The 21,171-nt window shown below is 42.7% G+C and overlaps 2 annotated features.

Moving 5' to 3' along the window:
- Positions 5,580–6,154: an enhancer, noted in NCBI's record as "OCT4-NANOG hESC enhancer chr16:65761912-65762486 (GRCh37/hg19 assembly coordinates)". NCBI's record gives its function as "activates a minimal SCP1, AML or CMV promoter by ChIP-STARR-seq in naive H9 embryonic stem cells {active_cell/tissue: H9 hESC(naive)}" and the evidence as "EXISTENCE:reporter gene assay evidence [ECO:0000049][PMID:30033119]".
- Positions 20,289–20,896: an enhancer, noted in NCBI's record as "NANOG hESC enhancer chr16:65747170-65747777 (GRCh37/hg19 assembly coordinates)". NCBI's record gives its function as "activates a minimal SCP1, AML or CMV promoter by ChIP-STARR-seq in primed H9 embryonic stem cells {active_cell/tissue: H9 hESC(primed)}" and the evidence as "EXISTENCE:reporter gene assay evidence [ECO:0000049][PMID:30033119]".

Genomic DNA, 21,171 nt, shown 5'->3' with positions numbered 1-21,171 from the left:
AATATTCTTAAGATGTCTTCAGCCATACCCTCAAATTATATGACAGTGTCTGGCTTTAATACCCATCTAAATAGTTATACTGTTGACAGGTTTCGAGAGCGGTGTTTGCTCTTCCATTCCTCTCATTAACTTATGTAGCAACATCATAACTCTCTGGAAGGATTAAAAAAAAAAGGATGCTGGCATATTCCATCTGAATTCATTTCATATAGTGTCTGTCAGAGCATTTGCATATGAATGAGATGCCTTGATGTTTGCTCATTAACATGGGAGCATTGCAGTGACACGTTTTGGAGCTCAGGTTCAAGAGTTTGAAGCAAGAGAGGGAAGAAAGGTTGAAGGCTCAGTCCATGTAAGATTTCACTGCAGTAAGCCTGGTATATAATCTTAATCCCAATCAGGCTGTGGTCTGGAAGGGCATCTCTACCCTTTAGGACTATAAGCCCAACCTTCCACTGACTCTCCTCCCATATCCCCAGCGTTCTAGCCACACTGATGTTTTTTCATTAACACATTCAAGTTTGTGTGTATGTAAGCTGCTCCCTCTCTTTGATAGGGCATACTTCCCTCCATGTTTGGCAAGACTTAACAATTCCACTAAACATCAATGTCTTTCTGAATCCCTCCTCAATTCTTCTGGGTCAATTTAGCCACTGTCTCCCTGGGCCCCAACACCAGATCCTCATGACTGGAATGGCCTGTGCCCCACGTTGCATGTTTCTTTTATGCATAGAGTAGAGCTACCTTCATTGTTCCAGCCCTGGTGTCCAGAAGAGAGTTGTAGATGCTTAATGAATATTTATGAAATGGATCAGTACAGAGAAGGCTAGAATAAAACATGGGGAGGCATATTGAGAGCTTCTGTCTCCAAGGGACTCAATGTGTTTAAACTGCTCCTGAATGTCGGTAACAGACTGCCTCACACTTCAACCAAAATTTCAGTTCCAATTGACAAGGCTCAGGCTCAGCCCTGGAGTTCCATCTGAGCTTCATCTCCATCAAATCACAAGCTTTGGAAGTGGGACAAGGATGTTTTCACAGCAGTGGGCAGCCCATGGCTTCTTAGGTGGTCTCATTATGGAACATATAGACTTGGAGGTGATTAGCATCAGCACTGAGCTATGGCTCCTGTTCATGTCTCCTGAATTGGGAGGACACGGGTCTCAGCCACTGAAGCCTGGGGGATGACAGGACCCGGTAAAGGCACACCAGGCAGGGGCAAGGGTCAGAGCTACCTCGGGATCCAAGGTACCTATAATGACTGTTACAGTCATTCTCATACACATTCAGTGTGGTGGTATGAGGCAGTTAAGTGGACAGACCCCTGGAGTCAGAATGCTTAGGCTCCAGTGCCAGCTTGACTGCCTGTGTGACCTTGATCAGCCAAGTAACCTTGCACACATTCCCCAAACTTTCTAGAACTCAGTTTTCTCATCTGTACAATGGGCATAATAAGAGTACCCCATGGCATAGGGCTATTGTGTGCTCAGTCATAGAGTCACCCTTATATGTGTCACACCCTTACATGTGACATAGAAAATTGGACTACATAGAGGTTAACCATTACTAGTTGTTTATAGAAAGAATTCACCTATAAAATTACAAATGATGAGAGCACATGGACCCATAGAGGGGAACAATATATACTGGGGCTGATTGGAAGGTAGAGGGTGGGAGGAGGGAGAGGATCAGGAAAAGTAACTAATGGGTACTAGGCTTAATATCTGGGTGATGAAATAATCTGTACAATAAACCCCCAAGACACAGGCTTACCTGTGTAACAAACCTGCACATGTATCCCTGAACCTAAAAGTTTTAAAAAAAAAAAGGCAAGCATTTGTGAGAATGTGGAAAAAAATATATTTGATGCTTATCAAAATCATGTAAAGTTATTGTCATCTTTTCTAGAAAAAGTGAAAAATCCCTGCAGTTTAAAATAGAAATGTAGAGTCAAAAAGCTCATTAAGATCTTACACCCTGTGCCCTGAGTGATTAAATGTCACAGTCAAGGACATAGAACTCACATCTTTGGACACACCTTGGATGCCTGCCATACCTTAGACACACACAGAAAACCCAACACACCTCCACCCAGTCTCAACTCCTGTTGAAGTGACTTGGTGGTTGCCACACATGATTAATAGGTGTGGAAGACCAGTGAGTTGTGGGTGACTCACTGGGAAAGATGGTGTTAAAAGGAGAATATGGGAAGAGCCTATAGGGAACAGAGAAAAGGGCAGTTCAGTGAAGCAGAATTTTGGTAGTGCTCAGTTATATTAGTTTCCTGTGGCTGCTATAGCAAATTATTCCAAATTTGATACTTGAAAACAAAACATATTTATTTTCTCATGCTTCTGGAAGTTAGAAGTCCAAAATCAGTTTCACTGGGCCAAAATCAAGGTCCAAGACTGCACATCCTCTGAAGGCTCCAAGGGAGAATGTGATCTTCTGCCTTTTCTAACTTCTAGAGCTGCGTTTCTTGCCATCTTGGGCTCCCAGCCCCTTCCGCATCTTCAAGGCTAGCCCTGTAGCATCTTGCTGCAGTCATCTCATCACAAACTCCTGTCTGTGCAGTGAAATCTCTTTTTGCCTTTCTCTTATAAGAACACTTATGATTACATTTAGAGCCCACTTTGATAATTCAAAATAATCTATACTTCTTGAGATCCTTAATATAATCACCACTGCAAAACCCCCTTTGCCATTTAAGGCATTTATGGATTCCAGGGATAAGAATGTGGATGTCTTTGGTACTGTTATTCAGTCTACCACACTATTTCAGCAACTATAACTGGAGGCTCAGGAGCTCTGGCCAACAAGTGTATTGGGCCTCTTTGTTGACTTTCATCTACTGTGGATCCTCAGCTTGGTCCAGGCTCTGATCTGAGACTCCTCAGGAGACCTTTTCCCTAGTGTATATGAAACATGGACAGAACAGACAGACCATGAAGAAGAAAGCACTGGCTTATGTAACAACTGAATTTCTGGAGAGGAATGAATAGATTGGCACTTTGCTTGACTATCTCAGTGAGTCTGAAATGCGGGAATCTGGCCCAGAGAGATAAGGCTTCCATTTCCAGGTACGGGCAACACTGCCTTGTCCCAAACCCCAAAGTTAAGCACCCAAAAAAGTACTTGGTTGGATTCACCAAGGAAGAGTCACTTTGGTTGGTTGTAGACAGCTTAACTTGACTACATACATTCTCAAAAATAACATTTATTTTACTGGCACTTGAGAAAGTGATTTGAGAACTATTTGTACTAATGGGCATGTTCCACTACCCTGTGTACTGTTTTTTTGGTACAGTTTTCGCTCACAAGGTATAGTGTATCTATTAAACTCTCCAGTCTGTCCTGACATGAACAGCTCTTGTTCGATTCTCTGAGCAGTTGGGGACCACAGTCTGCCTTTTGTACCATGTCCATGATTATGTAGTGACTGTGAGCCCAGCTGGCAGCCTGTAGGAACTGTCTTGCCCCTCACAGTTGCTTCAGCTGTGTGACATCGAAGGTATCTGGTCATTGATTTGATTATTTTGAGACCATACAGAAAGTCTTAACTTGCTCACAGAGAACTTCAGAAAATTAGCCCATGGACAGAGAGTGCTTACAGCTAAACTGAAGCTGATATTCTTCCCTTTCAACACTTCCTTGAGCAGAGTCCTGGGGGAGTCAGTCTTGATGTATCTACTATCAAGGTTCACAAGATAAAAAAAAAATCACCATAATGTTTTTTGCTCTTTTTGTTTCAAGTAGAAAATGTGCAATGGTTCAGAAGGGTCTCCCAAGTTTCATGTGTTGAAAACTTAATCCCCAATGCAACAGTGTTGAGTGGTAGCACATTTTAGAGGTGACCAGAGCCCTTATGAATGGATTAATGCCATAACTTCAGGAGTAGGCTCCTGATAAAAGAGTGAGTTCACCCCCCTTTCTTCCCTAACTGTAGGTTATCAAGCATGTGCCTGCATGCTCTCTTGCCCTTCCACCTTGTGCTGGGGGACAATGTAGCAAGAAGACCTTCATTGGATGCTGAGTAGATGTTGGTGCATGCCTTTGGACTTTACAGCCTCCAGAACTGTGAGCCAAATAAATTTCATTTCTTTACCCACTACTCAATCTTAGGCATTCTGTTATAGCAACACAAAATGGACAAAGGCAAAATGTTTGGGGATTTATTTGTTGTGAAAACTTGAGCTAACATTCTCTTCCTGGAGGTTGTCTTTAAAGAATCGCTCAGAAATTCCATAAGCTCCAGCTCATATCTGCAAATGTAACGAGACCCTTTCCCCAGCAATGCTATGAAACAGGCATTGCCCTGGCAGTGTGGGCTGGAATGTAAATGTCAGAAACCTGGGCATGGCCAAGTTAAACAGGAATGCCATGTGTTCTTGCTGCCAGGGGTGGGGGTGGGTAATGAGGTGCATATGTGAAATCTCGGTGCCCATGTCTCTGCTCAATGAGGTATCTATCAGCTGTTTGGGACTTTAGGTGAGAAGGCATTTATTTCACTCACTGATGTTGAAATCATCCTACCTACAGCCACAGGTAGCAGGCAGAAGCTAAGCCCATAAAAGGCAGAGAGTTTGATTGGAGGCAGGTTATGTAGTTTAAATTGGTTTTTAAAACTATCGCTATCCACAGAGCCTGATATGAGGTTATATTTGGGTTATATTGTTTAATCTTTCTAACAACCCTGTGATGGGAAGTTCATTTTGCTCCACAGTTTTCAAGGAAGGAGACAGAGGCTAACAGTCTAAGCATCTCGTCCATGATCACCCAGTTAGTAAGTGGGCTTGCAGGATCCAGGGAGTCTGCCTTAAAAATCTCCTCTCTCACCCACTCTGCTATGACAGGTTACTCTGCTTTTCACAGCATTATCCAGTACATCTCTGTGGTTTATATTAAGAGTTTTAGAGTGGGACATGCATGTTTCCACCTCGACCAAACCATGCTGGTATGCACGTGAAAGGACCGAGATCTAACTTGGGCTATGACTGCTTACTCTGCTCCAATGCTTACGGGATCTCCAGATCCTTGGGACAGGCAGCTGGAAGCTGAGATTGGAGACTATATTGGCTCTAAATTGTTTATTGTGTATGAACCTGGAGAGTTAATTGTTCAGAATACAGATTCTCAAAGGATTGTCCCTGAACCAGCAGCATCTGGGAGTTTGTTAGAAATGCAAATTCTGGAGCTCTACCTAGACCTACTGAATCAGAAACTCAGAGCCTGGGGCTTAGCAATCTTATTTTAACAAACCCTTGAGGTGATGCTGATTTACGCTAAACAGGTCTCCTAGAGTTTGTGCTCTGCCATTCTTAGGAAACCCTTTTGTCATTCTCAGCACAGGCTGAGACTAAATAGCTACTTTCAGGTGCTGGGCATGGGAGGAACAGGGAGGACCCAGTGGAGCCTGCCAGATTCTCAGAGGGCAGGGGGCCTTCGGAGGGAGGGTATTCTTTATTATTATTATTATTATTATTATACTTTAAGTTTTAGGGTACATGTGCACAACGTGCAGGTTTGTTACATATGTATACATGTGCCATGTTGGTGGGAGGGTATTTTTCCTGGGTGAGTTGCACCTATGCCTGTGAGTGCTTTGTATTCTACAAGGTGATTCCTGAACACTCCTGATTCCAGGTTTTGTTCTCATCTCCAGGCAATTCCAAACTCCTGATTCCTGGTTCCTAGTTCCCAGCTGCCATTCTCCTACCTTAAGCGCCTCCCCCTCCTGGAAGCCTTCTGACTTAGGAACACTTGTCCAGACCTCAGATGCATGTGATTCTGATCATTAGCACCTTGTAGTTGGGATCCTTGCCTTGTAAATCTCTTTGTTCTCTCAAAGTTCAGGGGAAGGGAGGGGCAGGAAGCCTGAAGGAGTTCTCCTTTCAGCCTGTTCATCTGCTCCAAGTAGAACAAAGCTGCAGTGTGGGGAAGGCGCTTTGATCCCAGACAATGAGAGCGGCTGGATTAAGTGTTTGGAGAGACCAGACAGCTCTGGCACAAAACAGATCTGTTACTTTTCTTTCTTTTTTTTTTCTTTTCTTTCTTTTCTTTTTCTTTTTCTTTTTCTTTTTTTTTTTTGAGACCTAATTCATGTATTAGAAACAAAAAAGGCATAATGTTTTGAAGGGTGGTATTTCCACAGCTGTAAGTCTCAGGCGTAAACTGAAACATCTGTGTACTGGGTGCCCTGCCCGGGCGAGGAGGTTCTACCCCTAGGGGGACACTACCCTGATGCATTGGGATGACACGGCATTCCCAAATGACCCCAAGGCCACTGAATGGCAGCTGGGACTGGGAAATACTGGAGCTGGGAGGGACCTTGGGAAATTTGCTCATGTGCTTAAAACCCATTTATGCCTAGTGTTCCATTGTTGGAACACTAAGCATGAGGGAGTTATTTACTCTTACTGCTCAAGGTCATAGCCAAGGTCTGATTGCAAAAATTCAAAAAATTGCAGCCGCAGGCATAAATGGGTTAACACAGTTCCTAAGCATACAGAACTCTGAGTTTAAAAATAAACATCACAAAATAAACATTTCTGTATAGGACGCCTACTAGGTACATTATATACCACCCTCCACTAAAACCGCGGGGGCCTCTGTTTTCTCTTATGATTCATGACCATTTCAATAATACTCATTATATGCGTGTTATTGCTATCCCCATATTTCAGAGGAGAAATACCAAAGCACAGAGAGGCTGGTAAGTTCCTCAAGTTCACACAGCTAAAGAAGTGGCAAAACCAGGATCCCAACCCAGGCAGTCTGGTTCGAGGTCAGTGCCCTTCATTATAGGATAAGGTCCCTGTCCATAATGAGTTCCAGTCCCTCTGAGGAAGTGACGGATGGTGCAGGGAAAACCCAGCACATCCAGAGTGCTCAGGACACAGTGTCTGTCCTTACCATTGCTGTTGTTACTTACACAGATAAATTTAGCAGAGTGTGACAACGGCTGAATGGATGGGTGGAGTGTGATGAGGAAGCAGAAGAGGGAACCTGGAGCTCAAAACTGCCAGTTGGCCAGGAAGAGGGCAGCCTTCATTCACAAAAGAGATGATATTTGAATTAAGTTTTTAGAACCCCAGAGAAAGATAAAGGAGAAAGGTGTGTCAGTCAGGGAATCATAATATGCAAAGGCATCCGAATTAGACCAGAGTGACAAAAATTAGAGGGCTTTAAAGATGTTTTGCTTTCCAGAGTTTTAGCTCATGCCTCTCTATACCTCTCACCTTTATCAAAACCCCAAGGTTTCTGCTGTATCAAAATAATGGAGTTAGAAGTAGAAATTAACTGTACTGGAATGGACCTCAGTATGTGCATTGGATTAATGAGCAAACTTATATACAGAAAACAGAAGCCAATTACTATACTTTGACCATTTTTTTCCATTAAAGCCAACCATACACCTTTAAGTCCGGGCAGCCCGAATGTCTAAGTATTCCCTTTGTTTGCACACAGCCCTGGTCTTCTATCCTCTTATGCTTGGTTCCTCCAAGCATGCTTGGAGAATGCTCCCTCCCATCCTTGACACCACTTCTCACCTACAATCAAAACTTGGTTCAGATGCCTCCTCCAGGAAGCATCCCATGCTCCTCCTAGCTGGGAATAATTCTTTCCTCCTTTTCATTCCCTTGTAGCAATGATGACTTCCTATCTTGCATTGTGTACATCTTACCTCCCTTGTTTGATGGTAAGCTCCTTGTAGGTGAGATCCCTGTTCAACTTGGAGTCCCCAGCACTCACAGAGGACCTAGCCCATGGTGATATGCAGTAACTTTGTGACATGCAATAACTTTGAAAATGTATTAATGAACATATTAGGAACCATTTGTGTGGGCCCCTATTCTGGCTTTTTTGTTAATTGGGCAATTGTGTTCAGGAGAATGAAACCCTGGGAATAAATCTCTCAGAATGCTCACAGAGGCTTTGACTCACAGGCAGGAGGGGACCTGATTTCTAAGGCATCAGCAATGGTCCATGGCAGGTTTCTCTGCCTCTGGCACGATGGATAGAGAAAAGATTTCTGAAACTTCTCTCACTTTGACAGTTCAGTATAATTTGACATAGTACTGACTGGGTACAGGAGACGCAACCCCATGTGTATTAGCATGTAGAAATACACAGAATTCCTCTTTTCTTTGGGTCTTCATTTCCAAAGGTTCTTGTGTCACATAAAACTTGCATTAAATAAATTTGCATGCTTTTCTCTTGTTACTCTGTCTTTTGTTATACGGGTTTCAGCCATGAACCTGAGATGGGAAGAAAAGCTATTTCTTCCCTTCCACAGTGTATTCCTCAGTATCTGATAAGGCAAAACTTAGAATATGGTCCTAAGACAACTAAAAAGGGCCTTGATTCAGCTGTACTCTTGAATTCCAAAGGCATGATATGCCTGTGATTTTTTTTCCTTGGTGCCAAATCAGCTCTGCTTATCGACTGCTATTTTAATGAAACCTCCTGGTACCAGCTCAGGAAGGATATTTTTATTAGATACGACTGGGCGGATTCTCATGTTGAAAGCATTTGGTGTAAAACATGAACTCATTCAGTCCTCAGATATCCTTCCAAATATTTCCTTTGAAATTGGAAAATTACCAAGGAACTTGTGATAAGAAGATGAAAAAAGGAATTAAAAAGCAGGGATGACATGCTTCTCTTCTCCCCACAATCCTGCATGGGTGGGGCTTTTGGGATTTGGAAATCAACAAAATTAGAAGGTTAGTTGGTGAGAGACCTGGAATTGGGCAACCCTGACCCTGGCTGTGCTCGGTGGGGGTGGGTCAGATGGTCAGTATTGTTGTCTTCTGCTTTTCTGTCTTCTCTAACTTCCCCTTTGGGGCAGGAGTCACACAGAGAAGATAAGAACAGGTCTGACTCACATAAGTCAACCCTATTAATTCATCAAGCCCCTGGCATTATAGTGTGTAAATCTCAGCATCAAGGGAAGGGTTGCCACCAATATTTATAGAAATCAACCCTCCCTGTCCGATTTAAAAATCTCTTCCAAGATCATCTACTTCCCCCAACTCAGAATGCAGTAGAGGCAGAAGCTTACAAGTTGGGTTCTGGATCACCAGCCTGAGTTGAAATACTAGCTTTACCAACTTTATGTTTGGGTAACTTGGGCAAGTTATTTCATCCTGCTGTACCTCAGTTGCCTTACTGTTAAAATGAAGATAAATGATATTACTCATTTCATAGGGTAGTTATAAAGAGACAATGCATATACTTAACCATCCCCAATATAAATACTTAATAAATGGTAGCTATTATTGCCATTACCATAAAGACCCACACCTGTCTTGATAAGCAAAGAATGGAAACGATGGAGACTCAAATAACTTCCTGAGCTTTCCCCAAATAATCATACCTTCTAGGGACACACAGCAATCACCTGCAATCCCTGAACAGTTTTTTGTAGGCATCTGGACTTTCCTGAACTCCTGACATTGCTGGTATCATTGGGGTCTTTCCCAAGTGAGGCAGTATGCTGCTGATACCCAGCAAGATTTCATGAGGTGGACTCCTGTACTATCTTGAGATGAAGACAAAAGATTCAAAGCAAAAGAACATTCAGGTTATCTATGGGTGGCTTTGTTTTCTAGATATGGCTCTTTCAGAATTGAATTTCAGAGAACATCAAACAAGGGCCATGATACTGAGACATTTAACTCCAGAATTCTCACTGCTTAACCAGAGAGCCTAGGATGGCTTCCCTGATTCTTATTGAAATTCCCTCTTAAGGCTTGTCACCATCTCAGTATTATTCTCGCCATTTGATAGATGAGAAGACTGAGGTTCAGAGAAGTCAACGGCCAGTGGGAGAACCTCAGGAGCATTTAAGAAAAGAGATGTTGGTGGTATATTTTAGAAGAATAGGAAGCATCTCTACTCATGTTGAATTCATTCAACAGGACTTGGAGGGATTCGTGATTCATTCACACAAGCAGGAAGATCAAAGTGGCCTCAATCGCCTTGACTAGGAATAAATGTTTCCTTGTCCTTGGGATTCTCTGGGATAAAGTATAGGGTCTAGGGTATTCCTTGGAGATAAAAATTGTTTTGACAATGACAGCTGCTCTTTGAGTTCCATGGGTCCCCACCCCTGGGACCAAGCTCTCATTCATGGGTGGTCCTGCCTGTGACCTCTTCTCAGTTTTCCAGACTCCCACCTTCCCCTGGTATCCCCTGCTCTGGGTCTCTTCCTCCTAACTGCCCTTCTTGGTCCAAGTCCTTTAAGATACAGGAAATGTTGGAAATTCCAAAGTTCCAGCCTGATCTACTGCCCCTGCCAGGCATTATCTGGGCTCAGTGTCCCATTTCAGCTCTCTATCCAAACTCCATTGTTTCTTCTTGACTAGGCCCATTACTTGGTGCTGCTGTCTGTTTGCCTTGTTTCAGCTCTTTTCTGGGACATTGGCTCAGGTCATCCTTACCTCTCCGGACTCCAGGCTAAAGCTCTGACTTCTTTGGTCTGGACAAGTCTATCTGGTGCAACCCGGGAGGGCTCTCCCAGCTCAGGGACCCTCAGCATTTTTCTTTTCTCACTGGTAGGGACACTCAGAATCATGACCATGGGTCAAGATAACAGAAAGTCTCCCTTTTACTGGTACATGTGAATAATAGAAATTTATTTGATCTCTCATGCAGCTCAGTGACAGACCAGCGATGTCTTTCCTGGCCACAGGGCAGAGTACGGTGGACTGTATGTTTATACTTTATGCCCCTTTTGTACACTCTTCTCATCAGAGACAGAGTAAAAATTCTGTCTCCTTGCTACTGGGCTGGAGGGATTTGGTGCTTCATGGATGGAGCTAGAGACCATTTTCCTAAGTGAACTAACTCAGGAATAGAAAACTAAATACTGCATGTTCTCACTTATAAGTGGGAGCCAAATGTTGAGTACACATGGACACCAGGAAGGAAACAACAGACACCAGGACCCACTTGAGGGTGGAGGGAGAGTGGCAGCTGAGTACTATGTTTAATACCTGGGTGATGAAATAATCTGTACACCAAACCCCTGTGACATGTAATTTACCTATATAACAAACTTATACATGAATCCCTGAACCTAAAATAAAAGTTAAAAAAACTTGAAAAAGAAAATAGAAAACTTGGTGGTACTTCTCAAAAACAAAGATATTCTAGCACAGAAACAATGCTTCCAGAGAAGAAAGAAAGAGTTTCTTGAGCATCTACTGTATACCAGGCTCTGAGATAGTTTATTTACCGTGTCATCTAGAGCAGAGGTCACCAGCCTTTTTGGCATCAGGGAGAGGTTTCGTGGAAAGACAGTTTTTCCATGGATGGGCAGGCGGGGTGTGGGGGATGGTTTTGGGATGAAACTGTTCCACCTCAGATCATGAGACATGAGTCAGATTCTCATAAGGAGTGTACAACCTAGATCCCTTGCGTACTCAGTTCACAATAGTGTTCCCACTCCTGTGAGAATCTAATGCCGCTGCTGATGTGAGAGGCAGCAGAGCTCAGGCAGTAATGCTGGCTTGCCCTATGCTCACCCCCTGCTGTTGGGCCTGATACCTAACAGGCCATGGACTGGTCCGCGGCCCAGGAGTTGGGAACCCCTGATCTAGAATCTTTCTAGATGCTGGAATTCTGGATGAAACAATCTTAATCACCTCCTCTACCGATGTCTTCTCACAGTCCAAAGACTTCCTCAAGATTTTTGCGATGTTCAAAAGATCTTGGTTTCACGACAAAACAAAAGGATTCTTCTTTTTATTAGCAAACATGTATAAAAGGCAGTTGAGGGTTATAATATATGTTTTTTTCTTAAACACCAATACACTTTTGGTTCTAATTCTTAAACAACAGTGACAAAACCCTGAGGTAGATATTTTTAATTCCACTTTACAGATAAAAAAATTGAGTACGTATTAGGGATTTTTAATGATGTTTTGTTCTCTCACATAGCAAATAGCTGGTAGATTAATTATCGAAATCCAGATATGTATGACTTCAAACCCATGTCCTTTCCACAAATTTAAAAATTCAAAGACTGATTTATTGTGTAACTGATGTAGGTTTTATAATGCATCTTTATATCACTATTATAGGTGAATTCCATTCTCCTGGGTGGTATTTTAATTTGTACAAAGTAATGAGAGTTTCCACCAATTTAGTCTAAATTTTGATCCTGAAATTTCTACGTTGCAGGAGTGATGGGACAAATCACTAATCAGTATATTAGTGCTTTTTGCAAATCTTGGTCTGGAATGACCAACCTAAGCGGCCACGAGAAACTTCGTCTCCTGGAAATAGATGTTCTGGTACCTTAGTTGAAATTGCTAGATTTCACATCTTATTAGGAATCTGCTTGTAATTCTGTACTGTCTCAATTTTATCTTCAGAATTGAATTAATTAGCTAAGAAAACTTTTGCATCATGTGTAATTTGTTTTTTTCTTCAGATGTACCGTGATAACAAGCTATTCTTTTACATCAAGATGGAAACATATTATATTTTCATGCAAAGAAGAATCTGTTATTTTTGAAGTGTTTAATCCCCTTGTCTTTAAAATATTCAGAAAGTAAGTGCTTGTCAGGCAGTGGATGCCCTGGGTCTTTGGAAGTCAAACTTTCAGCTGATATGGCTGTGGATGGTTTCATCTGTAACACATGGAAGATGTTCCAGACAGAAGAATTTGCAGGAGTTACAGCTTCGTTAAGGTGCTCACAGAAGGCCAGTTTCCTAATTAGAAATGGTGTTGGGTATAAGAATTGAAGGAAAAAAGGCTGGAAATTGTAACTGGCATTGGCCTTTATGGTGCCATTTAAAAACCAAAATTTTATAGTTGATTTCTGTCTTTCAACCTTGGAGGCTTGAGAACTCATAACCATTTTTGAAAACGTATCCACCTTGCTTAACCTCATTGTCTATAAATTTATAGTCCATGAAACTGCCTCTTCTGACACTTTTTATTAGAAGAGATTATTATGAAAGTACATTTTAAAGATGCTATTGATTTTAAAATGACAGAGGAAGTTTACCTAATTATCAAATATATATTCCCATTGTTTGATAAATATAAGGAAATATGATTTTATTGATGATTCCTGGGAAACTGGGTGAATTTCTCCTCTGGATTTACAGGGACACATAACACTGATTTTTATTGTAAACATCAAAAACAACCTAAAAAGGTATTTTACAGGAAGTCATTTTTCAACTAGTGAATTGTTTTTCTTATACAGCTCTGACTCAACTGTACTTATAATTTACTTTTTCTCCTCCATGTCAATTTAATGAAAAAAATAAAGCATGCCCACTTACTCTTTTCAGCTTTTTTTTTTTAAGTCTAAAGTTACCCTAATGGTGAGGGAGCTCAAAATCTTGGTGTCAGAAACCACAGGGGATTCAAAGAATGATCTGTGTTGGAAATCCATCTCTTTTACAAGTGAAGCATGGGGAAGTTACTTACATTCTCTGAGCCTCAGTTTTCTCTTCTATAAAGTGCAGGTAGTAATGAAAACCTCTTAAGGATATGAGATAGCATATAATGCTCCTAGTGGGCTGATCATGCACGGAAGTCATCTGTTAGTGGTGATTTTTGTGTTTAACTTGGAAAGGATGGTCCTGAGGGTATATGCTAGCTGTCTGCATATTTTAATAAATTGTATGTAGAAAAGCAGTAGTTAGGTTTGTCCTATCTACCATCCTGCAGGCAGAATTGGAATTGATTGATATAAGTCACAGGGAAATCACCTGTTTGAGTTGGAGCTGCCCGGTGCTGTAGGAACTGGATTCCTGCTCTCTATTTATTATTTTTTTGAGACAGAGTCTCGCCTCTGTCACCCAGGCTGGAGTGCAGTGGCGCGATCCTGGCTCACCGCAAGCTCCACCTCCTGGGTTCATGCCATTCTCCTGCCTCAGCCTCCCGAGTAGCTGGGACTACAGGCACCCACCACCACACCTGGCTAATTTTTTTTTTATATTTTTAGTAGAGACGGGGTTTCACCATGTTAGCTAGGATGGTCTCGATCTCTTGACCTCGTGATCCGCCTGCCTCGGCCTCCCAAAGTGCTGGGATTACAGGTGTGAGCCACCGTGCCCAGCCGATTCCTGGTCTCTAAAGGTGATCAAGTGGCATCTGTGGGGCCTGTGCATCCTCAGTGGTGGCCATCATGGAGTGTCAGTGAGGTAGAGGAGGTCGGACTCAACTCTGAAGGTGGGCTCAGACACCAGACCAAATTGAGGACTAGCTAAAACAGGGATGGGGCAAAAGCAGCTTTCTATAAGACATGCCCGACAGTGTGCCATGGCAATGGTGAACACCCAGGAGTTATTGCCCCTTTCCATGGCAATGACCCAATAACACAAAAGTTACTACCCCTTCCCTAGAAATTTCTGCATAAACCACCCCCACCTTGTAATCTACATACAGTTAAGCATAGGTATAAACATGACTGCAAAAGTGCCCTGAGCACGGCCTAGGGGGTATCCCTGCTCTGCAAAGTTCTGCAAAGCACTGCCAAAGTTCTAACACTGCCCCTTCAATAAAGATGTTTTCTTTTACCCTACCACCAGCTCACCCTTGAAGTCCTTCCTGGGTGAAGCCAAGAACACTCACAGGCTGAGCCCCACTTTGGGGCTCACCCGTCCTGCACCATCAGGATTAGATGAGGATCGGACCAAATGTCCCATAAATCCCCTCTGCACCTGATGTTCTGCAATTCTCTGATTAAACAGACCCTCTAATTGTGTAAAGATCTCACCTCAGATCAGATTCCCAGGGTCAGACATCACACTTCAGATGCCTTATAGACTTGGCCTCCATGGATGGGCATCTCTTCCACCTTCTTATTTGCTTTTAACATTTTGTTTTGCACATTTGGTCTTTTGTGGGTCTCCTATCTCTGACTGATACCCACAGGTCTCCCAGTCCAGGGAACCTCCACTGAAAGTTTTGTTTCTTTATTTTAGTTTCCCTTCAGCTCTCCCCTCAACACCCTCATAGACCATGCCCCCTTCTCTCCCATCTTCAGACTTCCAACTCCAATGAAGCCCACAAATATCTGCCTTTGGTTGGCTTCCGTTAACTCATATTTACTTCACTTCTAAGAAAAGCTAACCCTGAGAAAGCTTGAATACAATCCTTGGAGCCAGTTCTTAAAGTGACCTCTTCAGTCTGCTGGCTTCATTTAAGAAGTGGCACATGGGGAAAGAGTGGGCTTTGCATGCATACTGGGATTCAAGTCCTATCTGCATTATTTACTAAATGTGGAATCTTGGGTAAGTCTCTTCACATTTCTGGGTCTCTCTTTCCTCCTGTCACAAAATTACCTACCTTTTCAAGGGTGGTGCTGATTGGAGAAACTTTATGTAAACTTGAATGTTATGTAAATCCCATGACACGTTCAGCAAATGGCTGCTTCTGGCATTACCACCTTCACTCGCCTTCCTCAGCATCACCATTTGGAATGGTTTACAGTCTTCAAAAGCATTTTTCACCCTTTCCCATTTCCCTCAGAATCTTTTAGAGAAATTTGCATGACCTGTGACATGAAGAACTTACATCAAAATCTACCTCTTCCAGGAAACCGTCCCCTAAAGGAAGAAAGGTTCTACTTAAACTAATCTCCATTTTGGTCTCCTTTTTGCAAAACAGAAAATGGAACCCACTGTGGCATGAAGGGTAAGGGAAGACCTGTTCCTCAAATGCCTCACAGCACACATACCCTTGCTGCTGCCTATAATTGCCTGCAGAAAGCCTTACAGGTTTTCAAGAAGGTGCATTTTTGAGATGAAAATGCACGAGAGGCCACCTGAGCGAATTCTTCCTGTATGTGGTGGACACTGTGAATGGGTGTAGCAGTACTGTGGTAGGAAAGAACAGATGTTTGGAGTGAGACAGAACAAGGTCTTACAACACGCAGGTGATATGCTGTCTGTGACCACGACAATTTTCCTAAAAGAGGGGTCAGTAAACTACTTCTATAAAGGACCAAATAGTAAACATTTTTGGCTTTGTGTGCCACATGATTTTGGCTGTGGCCACTCAAATTTGCCATTGTGACTTGAAAGCAGCCATAAACAATACGTAAACGAGTGAGTTTGGTTGTGTTCCAAGAAAACTTTATTTACAAAATCAGAAGCTGAGCTTGATTTGGACTACATAGAGTGGTTTGCCAGCCTGTGTCTGACTTTCTCCAAGCTTCAATTTATTCATCTTCAACATGGGGATAATAGAGTTTCATAAAGATTAAATAGGTTAATACAAGTAAAACATCTGAGCACACAGCCTGACCTCTAAAAGATTTTTAAAAAGTGACTTCTTTCCTTCTCATCCTTTTTTTCCCAAGTGCTTCTGTACAGTGAGGAGTTGGGAAGAAATGTGGACAAAGGTCCCTCCTGGTCCTGTGATTTTATGAAATTACCCTTTGAAAAAGGAGCAAGCAAACAAGAGCATGCCAGAGAGAGAAATTGTATGGGTATCCTTTTCTCTGCAAAATCTGACCACAAGAAGCATTAAATCAATCAGATGACAAAGCAGAATATAAAAAATTGAGTCGGTTTGGTCTAAAGTATGCAGGAGGTCTGTGCTGTTGGGATCAGAAGCAGAAAAAAAATGAGGGAAATATTTTCAACACGTATGTGCATTGGCTATTCTACGACTCCCACATAATTCATCACAGGAAAACTTTGAGTGCAATAAACATTTCCCCTAGTTTCCTGGCTGCTCTGATCAAGAACAAAGCCATTAACATAAATGCAGATAAATACAAGGCAAATAACGATATTCCCAATTGCTTCTGTGTCAACCAGCTTAGTCCATCAATCTTGCCTGACTCGGTAAGAAGGAACCGAGAAAATTTATAACCGTAGATTTCTTTCTATTGCATTTCTACCTCACAGAGGAGAAGAAGAATGAATCATTCAGAAAGTCCTAGGAAACCAAATGAATGTTCTTCATCTCTAGAGCTTCCCATCTCAGCTACAATTTCAGTCATTGCCCCAACACCATACCTTTCTGGGGCTGGGGCTCTTTCAATGTGACATTTCTTTGGGCAAACTTATGGCTGTTTGTGTTATTCTCAGAGCCCTCCCTCTGCACTCCTTGAAGAAAGGTGTGTCCCAGGGACCTATTGGCAAGCCCATCCTACCTGCTGCTGTGAGCTGGTGGTGGCGGGGTCAGGGGGGTTGAACTTGGCAGGATTGCTGTGTCTTTACCCCCCATCACAGTGGGTGACAAGTTCAGTTGTAGTTTCTCAGTCTCCAGCTCTGTGTGCCTCTTCATAGTCACTTCATTGACTTCACATCCTTGGCCAATTTTAAACAGCATTATCCCTGGTCTTCTTACTCAACTCCCTTCTCACACTCTACTAACCCTCCCCCAATCATCTCATTTGCTCTCCTGATAACAAGTACCACCTACATGCCAGTGAACCCCCATATCTTGACCTCCTGCCCAGGCTTCTCCTACAAAGTCCAGGGTCTTCTTTTTAACCCCTAGTTGTCATCACCTCCTGCATACCCGCTGGGCACGTCAATTTTAACATATCCAGAGCACTTCCTTGTTCCCACTGAGTCTTTAGCACTATTCCCCATTCAGTAGCTCACATCAGAAACTGGACAATGCTAGATGCTGCCCTTTCTCTCAGCCCTAACATCTCATCAGTAGGCATGACCTATAGATAAAGACTTCCTAAAAATCTTTTGAAAACATTTCCTCCTGGTCTACTGGATCACAGTCCTGGTGAAGAGGCTCATTGCCTCGTACCAGAGAAATGCCTCATTTTGGTCTCCCTGCCTCTCCTTCCTTCCTCTCCCTCCCCTTGCCATTAATGATTTGGGGTTTCCTCTGTTCTATGATTGTAGAACATAAGTTGCATTTACAAACAATGCATATTCCCTCAGTGTGCAGAAGCTGCTATGGGAACAGAGTTAGGACTGGAAGCTGGAATACATGATTTACTATCTGATACAGAACTCAGGCTTGGGGAGAGAGAGAGAGAGATCAGCACTAAAGAGATATTTGTATTTTCGGTGTTTATGTAGTAGCCTAAATGACTTAGCATATGTAAATGAACTCTTCTAACACCCTTCAAGGAAAATATTATTTTCCCCAATATTATAAGAAATACCCTTGCAACTTGTTATTTTTGAGGATGTCTTAGTTAGGTTGTGACAAATCCAGGATTCAAATCTAAGGTGTCCTCTGTGTAAAAACCCCACCCTACATCTTCACTGCTCACTTCTTTGTGGAGGAAGGCAACAGGACTATTCTGATACAAACCTGGAGAAGAAACATGGTAATACTGGAGGTAAACAGAATACATGGCCCTAGAATAGGAGCCCAAGGAGATCAGAGATTTTATTATCCATTTTGTTCACTGATCTATTCCTAGAACCTACAATAGTTCATTCCAAGGGAGCTACTCCTATAGATGTTTATTGAATAAATGAATTAAATCACAGAATCCTATAAACATGGTCTCAGAAGCTATGTCTCCCTAAAGAGAGCTTTGTCTTGTGACCTTGGCAATGTAGTTCTTCCTCTCATGGGCTTTTGTATCCACAGGGATGAGAGCAGTGGTCATCATTCAGTGACTGAGTCCCTTTCAAGGCTGGCACAGGGTATCAGAGTTTTCTCTGTATATAACCTATTTTAACCTTCCTGGTGATCTTTTGGAGTCTGCCCTGGGACCCTAGTTTTGTCAGAAACAATGACTTAAGCCTCAGCCTCCATCTCATAACCAACCTCATCATCTCTATCATGGAATTCTGGATGAAGTACAAGCTCCACACCAGAAATGACACTTCTTCTATCTCTTCTGGCTACCCCTGCATGCCACCTTATTTTTCCATCTGCCCCATGGATTCTTTCTCTTTCAGTTGCAGAATAGCAACAACAGTAGTCAAGGAAACACTTAAAATTCTTCCAACTCTGTCTGTTTGTCTTGAAAAATATCCTACCTTGCATATATCTCTGTATGTCTCATTGTCAATGTCAGAGTGGAAGAAAGAACAAGACTTCCGTGGATCAGGAAATGAAGATTTGATCTTGGTTCTATCTCATGGCCTGTGTGAATGTTTAAAGACCATTTAATTCATCAGAGCCCAAGGTTCTCTATCTATAAAATAGGGCTAAAAAACCCCTACTTAGAATTTTACCGACTTTTCAAAGGGATAGCATTATGCTGTTAGCAGAGAGCCTGGCACAAAGTAGGTGGTCTTTAAACATTAGTTTGCTTTCTCTGGGTTTCCACACCTTTTAAATCTAGAGGAACACAGATATACCTCCTGGTTAAGTGAACTGGCCACTCAGTGAAATTCAAACCACTACTCAGGGTGATTGCATGGGATCGGCTGTCATCGCACCTGTCTGAGTGGCCCCAGTCAGGCTGCAAGGTTCTCTGGCCTTTGACCGGTGGCATTTGGACCTGTCTCCCTGAATGTCAGTCTGCTCACAGGTGCTGGCTCAGAGATGCCAATCACTGCTCCCTTTGGCTGATCGGCATGCTGTAATGTGTGCCTGCAGAGTTACTCCAGACAGACGGGGAAGGATTGAGTTGACCCAACATCATCTATCTGGCTGGACGCTCATTTTTCTTCTCCTGCCTGTCTTGTTCCTGCTCAATGCTTAAGACATGTCTCAGGGCGCTTTGCCCTGGTGTGCTCTTTCCACCCTCTCTGCCCCCTCCAGGCGGCTCTAAATGTCAGTCCCAGCTTAACTTCAGTCTCAGTGATGCACACACTCATTCACTCCATCGGTGCATCCAGCCATTCCTTGTTTTCTGTTTTTCCCTTCCGTAAAAAATTGCTGTGCACCTACAGTGTGCCTGGCTCTTGAGGATTTTTAGGCATGATTCTCCATAATCAGGATTGCCTTTCCGCCCCAGAAAGGGAATCTTAGAGACCGAGTGTGTTCACAGATTTCCACTCTGATCATCAATTGTGCAGCTGCTCCAGCTGTGGGGGTGGTGGAAAACCTAGGGCTGGGTGGGGTGGGAAGTTGGTTGTTGCTATGGTATTTGCCCTGACCTGTTGCCCAGTTTTGTTTTCAGGTTTAAAAAAGTCACTGCATCCTTTCCTTTATTCCTTTGTAACAACTCAGATGTCTTTTCACTTCTGTAGTTCTTGCAACTTCTGTAGTCAGGCATCATCACCAGTGCTCTATCGGCTGTTGATCCAGACTTCTGTTCCTGGGATCTTGCTAGCACAGTTGCCTTTTGGCCAAGCCTGGAGGGTCCAGCCATTAAGAATGGCTCCAGAAGGTCTCCTCGTCTTTCTCTGAAGCTAGACCTTCTCCAGTGAGTTCTTTGTCATTGGGCATGGGCAATGCTTTACCAGGTAGCTTTCAACAGCATTACATTCCAACTGCAGTTTGCGTGTGTCTTTCTGCCTTTCATGTACCTCAGAGGGACTTGCCTTACTTCCTGGCTGTGCCACAAAGAAATAGCCGTTGTCTCCTCTCTTTGCCTAGTAGTTGTGATTCCCTGTGCAGAATGTTCCAGGGAGGCTTCTCAGGATTTCTCCCAGGAAATCCTAAGGATCCTTTAGCAGATGAGCCTCCACAGACCTTCCTGGATATCCCACGATTCCAGAGATGCTTATGCAAATGAGACCCCCCTCTGTGGCCTGTGGTTTCTATACTACTGGGGAACTTCCCTTCACAGTAATCAACATCTCATCTTAATTGCTTTTGTTTATGGTTCAATAAGTGCATCGTTTTTGGCAACACCAGCTCACAGCAATATCTTAAATTACCCAAGGATGCCCACTTTCATTTATGAACTCTGGTTTGTGTCTGATGAGCACTTAGATTTTTAACCATTTATTTTTTCCATGTGACAGGGAATGAGGAACATAAAGCTGATGGGAACAGTAAAGTAGGGGGAACGGGGAGACTAGGGAACCATAAAAGTATTGTACGGTGTTCCAGGCCAATATAAAAGCAATGAGTTTTTAATATATGGTGGGCGTAATACATTCATATTCCTAATAAAGTCAATTATTTTTGAATCCGCTATTTCTCAATTTTCCACCTCAGCTCAGACAAAAACAAAATCTGCAGCTATTCAGAAGAAAAAAAATTATATTACAGTAATTGCAAATGCAGCAGCTGTCAAAAAAACTGTCTAATAAGTGCCTGTTTAACACATCTACCCTCCCAGAAACTGGGGGGAAATGTTGGGA

This window comes from Homo sapiens, chromosome 16 (assembly GCF_000001405.40).
Source record: "Homo sapiens chromosome 16, GRCh38.p14 Primary Assembly".
NCBI lineage: Eukaryota > Metazoa > Chordata > Mammalia > Primates > Hominidae > Homo > Homo sapiens.
This window is presented reverse-complemented; position numbering and strand designations above follow the sequence as displayed.